At 43.1% G+C, this 9,902-nt stretch overlaps 3 annotated features.

Moving 5' to 3' along the window:
* Window positions 1,577-2,452: an enhancer, noted in NCBI's record as "NANOG-H3K27ac hESC enhancer chr7:152665473-152666348 (GRCh37/hg19 assembly coordinates)". NCBI's record gives its function as "activates a minimal SCP1, AML or CMV promoter by ChIP-STARR-seq in naive and primed H9 embryonic stem cells {active_cell/tissue: H9 hESC(naive and primed)}" and the evidence as "EXISTENCE:reporter gene assay evidence [ECO:0000049][PMID:30033119]".
* Window positions 2,453-3,328: an enhancer, noted in NCBI's record as "OCT4-NANOG-H3K27ac hESC enhancer chr7:152666349-152667224 (GRCh37/hg19 assembly coordinates)". NCBI's record gives its function as "activates a minimal SCP1, AML or CMV promoter by ChIP-STARR-seq in naive and primed H9 embryonic stem cells {active_cell/tissue: H9 hESC(naive and primed)}" and the evidence as "EXISTENCE:reporter gene assay evidence [ECO:0000049][PMID:30033119]".
* Window positions 3,329-4,203: an enhancer, noted in NCBI's record as "NANOG-H3K27ac hESC enhancer chr7:152667225-152668099 (GRCh37/hg19 assembly coordinates)". NCBI's record gives its function as "activates a minimal SCP1, AML or CMV promoter by ChIP-STARR-seq in primed H9 embryonic stem cells {active_cell/tissue: H9 hESC(primed)}" and the evidence as "EXISTENCE:reporter gene assay evidence [ECO:0000049][PMID:30033119]".

Below are 9,902 nucleotides of genomic sequence, written 5' to 3' on the forward strand. Positions count from 1 at the left end.
ACCTCATGATCTGCCCACCTCAGCCTCCCAAAGTGCTGGGATTACAGGCGTGAGCCACCGCGTCTGGCCCATACCTTCTGTTTTATAGTACCAGGTAGAGGAAACATTCCCCAGTTGGATACTATATCCATTTTTAGAGACTGTTTAACTAAAGAAGACAAAACTACTCTCCATAAAGCCTGTGTAAACATTTTCACTTTCATAATCCTATCAACCCTTACATTTTTATGTTCCAGTCCTAGGAACTTCTTTTATCTACCCCCAGACCATTTTACCTTCTGTTGTGAAAAAGGGTTTGGGTCCCCAGCAACTCTTAAAACTCTGCTAAGATGTAGGCATGGTTTTTATCATCCCTTCCTGCTCAGGGGTCATGTGGTTGAGCCAAGAGACTTGGGGACCCTTTTGTCAATCTTAGCTTGACATCAACATTGCCCCAGACAGTTGTTGGTCAGCTTTCTCATTGCAATCTTTGCCCTCTAATTAAAAAGAGAAATCTCTAATCTGGGGGTAAATACAGAAAACTTGTTTGGGGCCCCTTAGTGTTGGGAGACCAGCAGGGGCTCCCTTTGGTTCACCCAGTCTTCTGTATTGTTGTATTAAGACCTTTTGTTTAACCTCATCGGTTTCCATTTTATTCATTGCATTTCTTAATAACTGTATACATATTTCTACCCTGTTGGGGTAGGTCCATGACTCTTCCCTCTCATTAATTAACCTAATATTTTTATTAGCATTTGTAAGATAAGGCTTCTCCAATTGTTAGATTCTGCCAGAATAACATGAGGTGCCCATATAGAAGGGGCCCTATTCACCATAGCACTTACCATGACCTGGGTAACAGGCATATTCCCTGGGTGAAAGTCCCTGTCATCATAAAGCAAATCCCCCACGGCTTGCATACAAAACATATCAACTGCATCATCTAGGGTGCTTCACTTGGCATTTATAGGGAGGGTTGCATTACATACAGTAGGTAGTCAGGCAGGCATGAGCAGGGCAGGAATGTCAGGTGACCATCAGGTGATAGGCAATTGCTAAGCTGGCTCTTTAAAATAATAATTGGTTAGAGCTGGTGCCAGAGAAAGGCAATCTCCTAATAGATAGAAAAAACCTGAAGCTGGTGCTAGCGGCTTCCCAGTAAGATCTCAGGAGCTGGGTGAGTGGGCTCAAGCATATGCATTAAAAGGCAAAGAGGCAGGGTTTAACCAGTATATGACCTTCCTCTAGGAATGCTCAGCTAGTAAGGGAAGAAGGCCTCGAATGAGCATCTGCACAACTTCAGTAAACACACTGTGCATGTGGCCCCTCCCAAGTGCTGGCAGGCCAGTACACATGCAGACAGCCTGCCCCCAGGAAAAATCAAGGGAGAAGTAATGCAATCCTGGAAGCATGCCAGCATATGAAACCTCAAGTCAAAGGTCAAACAGAGCACTTAACTCTCTCAAGTTGCTTGCTTGGCTGTCTTCCAAGTATTCTTCCTTTCATTCCTGCTCTAAAACTTTTTAATAAATGTGCACTCCTCCACTAAAACTTGCCTTGGTTTCTCACTCTGCCTTATGGCCCTCAGTCAAATTCTTTCTTCTGAGGAGGCAAGAATTGAGTTGCTGAAGACCCATATGGATTCACCACTGCCAATAATAGTTTAACTTGAAAGCAAGGATGCTAATAGTCCCCCACCCAAACTAATCCCCTCCTGGCTTAGGGACCGAAAATCACCTTCATGAGACTAATAAAAGGCCACAAGAATAGGATTATGGAAGGGGCCTGAGTTCTGATAAATGTTGGTATAGTTTCTATAACCCCTTGCTGCTCAGAAGTCATGTGGCCAGATGTCACAAGATTTGTGGCTTACCCAGTTGCTCCTATAGATAACATTACTACTGCAGAACCTAAGATTGCTTTTTGAGATATTTTTCAGATGGGCCCCATCCAGATTCATGATTCATGACTCAGCTTGTCCTGTGGCCCCACCCAAAAGTGGACTCAGTGCACGAGGACCATTTTCCACACCCCTGTGATTTCATGTCCAGTCAATCAGCAACTCTATTCCCTAGCCCCTTGCCCACCAATTGTCCATAAAAATCCTAACTTCCGAGGCTTCAGAGAAACTGATTTGAGTGGTAACTCCAGTTCTCTTGTGTGGGTTGGCCTTCTGTCAGTTAAACTTTACTGCAATACTGTGGTCTCAGGATTACTTAGTTTAACATGACTTTAAGACTTCAAATTACTCAAGAGAATTTTGAAACTAGTTTATTTACCAAAGATTACCAAAGTCACATGAACTAAAAGATATTTGAGCTAGCTTCTATTTTTTAAAATAAAAATTTGATTTAAGCACTTGATTTTTCCTTAAGCCAATTGATTAGAGCCCTTTCATATGTTTTGGTAGTGAAATGTCACATACTCATGACACATATAAGCATATAGACAGATGCTATATACATCTGTCTATATGTATGTATATAACAGATGTATATGTATGTATATAAGCATATAACAGATGCACAGAAGCAGATCTTATGAATTTATAAGACTTTTCACTCACCAGTTTTCAAAAAGTTTATTCCCTATCTTAGAGTATTAATCTCTTGCATATCTGTTCCATGCATCTCCAAAGGCAGGACTCAGGAGAAACAAGATAGAAAGTTTACCTCTCAAAGACACAGGACTCGGATCTAAACAAAAGCAAGGTTTCTTATGTAAACTCTAAGCCATTGTCTTCCCATAGTGAACATTCCTAGTGGCTTAAGTGCAGTGACAGAGATGCCCTTACAAATGGAGATTTCCTTTAAAGATGTAAATTTCTTCTACAAAGAGTTTCAAAGACTGATTTAGTTTGATAAGTGGTCTTTTTTTCCCCTCTAAAATACTTAGCTTTATTAGAGAAATGGTACTAAAATAACAGATTCCAACAACATTTGCTGTATTTCTACTTATATATCATAAATAAGACAGCTGTTGATGCAAGACACCCTCTTTCACAATCTTTCCATACGCACCCAAGATTCTTGTATCAGAATAAGCTATTTACCAGCCAACCATATGTGGTTGAATGATTAAAATGGATAAGTTGTCTTTTCAACTTGGCTTGTCTCTTAATTAGATCATAGCTTTATAGTGAAGCCCTTTAAAGAACAAGGCCAAGAAGGCATGCAGTTTTTAGGGCCTGCACCCTGCTTTTCTTATCCAAATGTCCAAAGAACCAAGCAGCCTCCTGCAGCAATGACCATCTCCTGCAAACAACTGTCCTCAGCTACTCCCAGCACTGAAGCTCTCACTGCCATCACACTGCCAGACACCACACATGCGTTGAGGTCAAATCCACTCATGGTACCATCCAGTCTTTGGTATCCCCAAAGCCAAAGAGATCAGGAAAAGCAATATAAAAGGCAGTAGAGTCTTATCTGTCCACTTATGACTCTTGGAGTTCCATGAAGAAAAACCAATGATCCTTCTAGAAAGAGTCTGGTATCTGTTCCATTTTCCCCAAGGGATCCCAGGCTGTCAGAAATTTCCCTTTTTGGGTCCCTCATATGGCATTGAGTATGCAGTCCTAATTAGAGAAGAGGTGTCAGGCTGGTGGGAGCAGGGGAAAGCAAAAAGAAAAAGCAGATGAGCTGTAAGTCTGCCTTTCTTAATGGTCCAGGACACGTAGCCCTCCTGCACAGATAACTCACATGACCCATGATCTTCCCACCCAACTTATCATCAAACACCTCGACTTATCAAACAAACACCTCGCTGATAGAAGAATGCAAGCTAGCTCACTGCAACCTTAGGGTTATCAGAACTGCGTGTAGCCCTCTCCAGCACAAGCATCATCCTATAAAATCCCCAGCAATCCTCTGTCTCCTGGAACTCAGCTCCTCTCTTGCTGATCTGCCCACTGCTTTCTTGCAACTTTGCACTTTCTCTGATAATCTGCCTTTCTTTACCTACGACTATCTTGGTAAATTCCTTTACTGCCTGTGCCGCTGGCCCAGATAGTTGCTACCTGTGACACTGAGGGTGGCAAGAGGAAGGAGGGACAGGCAGAAGCAAATGAAGAAACAGGATCCAGTGGATGGAGAAATTTTACAGAGACAGAACAGAGGCCTTAAGGCTGTGTATGTATATGTATATATGTATACATATATCAACAAAACGTCAGTTTTAACTAAGTCAACTTTTTATTATAGAGCTCTAAAAAAACCTTTTTCTCAATTGTAATTCCTACTGGGGCCATTTTACGTTGCTTCTTCTGGCTGGGTTTCTGTCACCAAACATTCAACCCACAGAAGTGGCCATCCACACACTGCCCTGCTTTACTGCAGTGAGATAGAAGCTCTCGGCTAACCATCATTCTAAATATACCAGTGTTTTCAGGGAGTCCTTATAGGTCATTCTCTAGACTATCTGTCCTGTTCCACTGGTCTCTTTATTTAACTTTCAGTGCAGATTTGATCAAGCCTTTTCTCTGGGGTCTGCAAGTGATCATATCTGAGACACCCTGCTGTATTTGCTGGTCCAAGGCTTCTGGAGTCTGGCTGAGCCTCAGGGTAATCTGAGGAGCTTTTTCAAAACACTCACGTCCCCTCTGTGAGGTTGTGGTTCAGTGGGTCTGTGCTGGGGTTAGGAGTCTCAGGTGTTCACAAGCTTCCCGGGTGATTCCAATGATTGGCTGTTTGGGAACCACTTCTGTGGGCAGTGCTCTCTGGTCCAGCTGAGGGAGTTCTCATCGCTCCTATGAAGTGAGAACTGGAAGGGAATTTGAGGATAAGGTATCCCCAGTTTCTCCCTGTAAGATGAAGGACTTAAGGCTTAGAGAAAGGAAACAAAGAGTCCAAGTTGTAAATAACTCAATGGCAGAGCCAGCATTTGGCTCAGTTTCTTAAGCATCACCCATTTCTATGCTCGTTCATTTATTCATCCATTTGTTCATACATTATTTCTTTCAATCCTTTTTAGTTTCTGTGGGTTTTATTTTTCTTGTTATTTCTGTCAAGCATCAAGTATTTGTAAGGGCCTATTGTATGTGAAGAAGTGCTATGCTAAGTACTGGAGATACAGGTAAACATACATGATCCCTGAACTCTCGAAGCTTAAAATCTTGTTGGAAGACAGGCATGCAGGCAGACAATTGAAATCTGATTGCACATGTACTAGAATAAATGGATGCTCTGATGATAGCGAGATCATAGGGAGGCAACTCAAGTACAATGAAGGGAGTCAAGCTGAGCTTGATAAGGGGGGCATTTGGGATGGGACTGGGTGTGAGGCTGAGCTTGCCTGGAGGATATGGGCAGGGAAGGCACTCAGCAGAGCTGCAGACTGAGCACCGAGTCAGGGAAGGATGGGAGAGTTGGAGAGGGCATATCGTCTGTTCTTGGATACCACAGCCTGAGTACAGAGGCAGGGAAGGATGGGAGAGTTGGAGAAGGCACATTGTCTGTTCTTGAAGACCACAGCCCGAGGACAGAGGCATGAAGGATAAGAGAGTTGGAGAAAGCACATTGTCTGTTCCTAGGGGGCACAGCCTGAGAGCACAGAGGCAGGAAGGATATGAGAGTCGGAGAAGGCACACTGTCTCTTCCTGGAGGGCACAGCCTGAGAGCATAGAGGCAGGAAGGATGGGAGAGTCGGAGAAGGCATGTTGTCTGTTCCTGGAGACCACAGCCTGAGACAGGAGAGACAGGGGTGGGACTGAAGATGGAGCTAGGACTCACCCACCTTGGAAAGGTCCTGCCTGCCGTTCTTCTGTCTTATGTTGGTACTGATAGGGACTCAGGAAAGACTTTCAACAAGAAGATGACTGATCTAATTTCTGTGCAGAAAGGTCATTCTGCACAGAAATGGCCAATGGGCCAAAAAGAGGAGAGAGTAGAGGCAGGGACTCCAGGGGGGATGAGAGAATTCAGCAAATTCAGTGAAAATGAATGCCTGAACCGGGTCCTGGCATTGTGAGTGGGGAGGAGAGGCAAACAGGAGGTAAGGAGGCACCTCTCTGGACTTGACGGTTGGTAACATTTGGGAAGAAAGAGTGGGAGGAAATTGGGATGCCACTTCATTTTCTGGCCTAACAAATGAAGCGCATGGTGGTGCCGCTAATCGAGATAGGGAATTCAGAAGGAGTGCTTGTGGAGGGAGGTAGGAAGATGAGCTCATTCTCATATGCTAAATTTGAGGTACCTGTGGGTCAGGCAGAGGCAGGTGCCACCTGGAGCTTAGGAGAGAGAAATGGGATATAACAATGGACTGGTAATGTAATCATGACCTTTGCAAAAACTTGGCTGTTTCGTCATATAAAATAGGAACTTAACTTTGGAGACTTAAAATCTTTTTTCTTTTTTGAGAATGGGGGTCTTGCTCTGTTGTCCAGGCTGGAGTGGAGTGGTGTGATTATAGCTCACTGTATCTTCCACCTCCAGGGCTCAAGCCTTCCAAGTGGCTGGAACTACAGGTGTGCACAACCATGCCCAGGTAATTAAATTTTTTTTTTTTTTTTTTTTTTTTTGGTAGAGATGGGGGTCTTGCTATGTTGCCAAGGCTGGTCTTGAACTCCTGGGTTCAAGCTGTCCTCCTGCCTTGGCCTCCCCAAATGTTGGGATTACAGGTGTGAGCCACTGCGCCCAGCCTAAAATTTCTTAACCCACATATAAGTAGTCATCGATTATAAAAATAGGCTTTCAGCATGAAAATGATTTTTCCTGAAGTTGGAGAAATAGAAGAGGATTCTTGGCCTCATGTTCTTTCCAGTTCCCATGATCTTTCAAAATCAACTTTGGCTCACTACCCTGTTTCCTGATGTGCTTTGCCTGCTGGCTTGTTCTGCTGGCCCCTGTCTTCTGCCCATGGGCCTTGCTTTGACCTATCTTGGTCTCCAGCCTCCATGTTGTTCCATTTACTGTGGCTGTGTAATACATTACCCCAAACTTAGTGGCTTAAAAAGCAACCATTTATATTGCTCATTGTATTAGTCCATTCTCACATTGCTATAAAGAAATACCTGAGAATGGGTAGGTAGTTTATAAATCAAGGAGGTCTAATTGGCTGACAGTTCTGCAGGCTGTGCAGAATGCATGATGCCGGCATCTGCTTGGCCTCTTGGGAGGCCTCAGGAAACCTACAATCATGGCGGAAGGCAAAGGGAGAAGTAGGCATGTCTCGCGTGGCTGGAACAGGAGGAAGAGTGAGAGTGGGGAGGTGCTACACACTTTTAAATAACCAGATCTCCTGACAACTCTATCATGAGCACAGCTCTAGAGGGATGGTGTTAAACCATGAAAAACTGCCTTCCTGATCAAATCACCCACCACCAGACCCCACCTCCAACACTGGGGATTATAATTCAACATGAGATATGGGTGGGGACACAGATTCAAGCCATGTCACTCATGCGTGTGCAGTTTGTGCAGGTCTTGATGGGGATAGCTTGTATTTACTCCATTCACCATCAGTGAGGGCAGGTTGAAGACCAGAGCTGGAATCTTCAGAAGCCTCACTCACTCACTCACTCACTCTGGTAGTTGCTGCTGAATGTTGTCTGACACCTCAGCGGGGACTCTCAGATGGAACATACTTCATGGGGACTTGGATTTAAAACAACATGGTCACTGGGCTCCAAGAGCACAGACAACTTGTGCTTGAGAGTGCGCATTGCCTTTTATGACCCTGCTCTGGAAGTCACCCAGCATCATTTCTCTTGGATTCTATTCATTGAGGCAGTTAAAGTCCCTTGTATCTTCAAGGTAAATAGACTTCCTCTCTCAATGGGGAAGGGTAAGATCCTAGAAGAGCCTGGGAGATATTTTTATTCTGTGGACACTTTTGAGAAATGTATTCTGCCACACATGTATTTATGGTGCAGTGATTCCCTGAGCCTGCACGCAGCCCTGCACCCCACCTCTCCTGGCCCTTGCTGCCTTCCTTCCTTCGTGCATTGCTGACCATGGTTCAGACTCACAGGATGAATGGGGCACAAGTCGTCCTTTTTCACAGTCTCCTGCCAAACAAACAAAGTGATCAAAGGTGACAGCATCAAATTGGCAGCCACTGGTGAGGAATACCAAAGCCAAGAAAAATGTCTGCAGAATCTGAACCTTCCAGACTTTCCTTTCTTGTCAGCAAAAACAGTTAGATTTAGGGACTTGTAGTCAGCAGTGAGATTTAAGATGTTTGGTTACACAAATAAAACACTACAGGTCTTCTTGGGTTAACCAGAACAAATTTATGATGGAGAAATTATGTTTTTTATTTTTAAAAGACTCTAAGATTGGCTAAAATTCCTCTACCTGTAGGGCAATATTTTTCTTTTGAAAATTTGAATTTCTCATCAAGGTGAAAGGTAGTGTTGGTGACCTTGTTTATGATGGAGAAAGCTATATATTTGCAAGGCAAAGTTCTTCCCGGGAAGTTATACTGTCCCTGACTTTTGTTGCAAAGCTGCTTTGATTTATCCATAAGCCTAACTTTCCCGACAGAAGGGATGATTAAACTGGCTGGCAATTGAAATATGATACAGGCTAGTTCTGATTGGGGGAAGCCACATGATTAGGCTTCTCCAGGAGGGCCTGGTGACCCTGGGCCAGATGTTTTGAGAAAAATTTATAGGATGAATGGAAAAACAAAGAAGATAGAAGGAAATGGGAAAAATAAATCCCTATTCTGAAATCACCAAAAGCCAGAGAGTTTGAAGGAAACTTTGAGATAAAAACAAATGGCTCACCAATACTTTTTTTCTTTCTTTCTTTTTTTATAAAGTTTGCCCAGGCTGGTCCCAAACTCCTGGGTTCAAGTGATCCTCCTGCCTCAGGCTCCCCAAATGTTGGGATTACAGATTTGAGTCACCACGTACCGCCTCACCAATGCTTTTTAAAGTGCATATGCAAAATATGTTATAAGGCAAATATATATTTGTAAAAAAAAAAAAGTCAAAGACTAGCTATGGAAACTCAAAAGTTAAGGTGGTGATTGTAGAAGGATGGGTAGTTAAGTGAATGCATTCATCTGGCAAACTTGGTTGAGCACTGGTAACCTTACAACGTCCTGTGGATGGAGTTGGAAAGGCAGTTCTTACCCCTTATACATTCATTGTCTTGTAGGGGAGTGTGGTTGGCTGAAGAATGCTCCCCAAAGATATTCATGTCCTAATCCCTGGACTTGTCAATGTTACCTTATATAGCAAAAGAGCATTTGCAGATGTAATTAAGTGATGGGTCTTGAGTTGGAGAGATTAGCCTGGATCATCTGGGTGAGCCCTAACTGCAATCACAAGTGTCCTTTTAAGAGGGAGGCAGAGAGAGACTTGGCTACAGAAGAAGAAGGCCATGTGATGCTTGAAGCAAGATGCTGCACTGCTGGGCTTTGAAGATGAAGGAAGAGGCCACGAGTCAAAGGGGGCAAAGAGCATGGCTCTGGAAGTTGGAAACAAGAGCCTGGCCCTGCTGGCACCTTGGTTTTTAGCCTAGTGAAACCCAGTTTAGACTTCTGACCTCCAGATTTATAAGATAATAAATTTGTGTTGTTTTAAGCAAAAAGTTTGTGATAATTTGTTATAGCAGCCATAGGAAGCTAATACAGAGATTTAGACTTAGTAGATATCTGTATCTGCTAAGATGTAATTTTAAGCTATGTCCAACTGCCTTTCTGAAAATTTTTATCACTGAACTTATGATAAATAAAAAATTTTTACTGTTTATTTCTTTGGCTTTAGGATTTGTTCAGTAGTCAAACATCAAATACCCTGGGTATAGAATTTTGGCCTCTTTGTCAATGCTCTTGCTAGAAGATTTTAATAATGGTATGGAGAAGGAGAGGAGAGTTTGAAGAGGCCCCTTTAAGATACTTCTTCATTTTAAGATATGTATGAGGTCATACGATTATTTTTTAAAAAGTAGACAGATTAAAATGTAGGCATCCAAACA

Source organism: Homo sapiens, chromosome 7 (genome assembly GCF_000001405.40).
Source record: "Homo sapiens chromosome 7, GRCh38.p14 Primary Assembly".
NCBI classification, from domain to species: domain Eukaryota; kingdom Metazoa; phylum Chordata; class Mammalia; order Primates; family Hominidae; genus Homo; species Homo sapiens.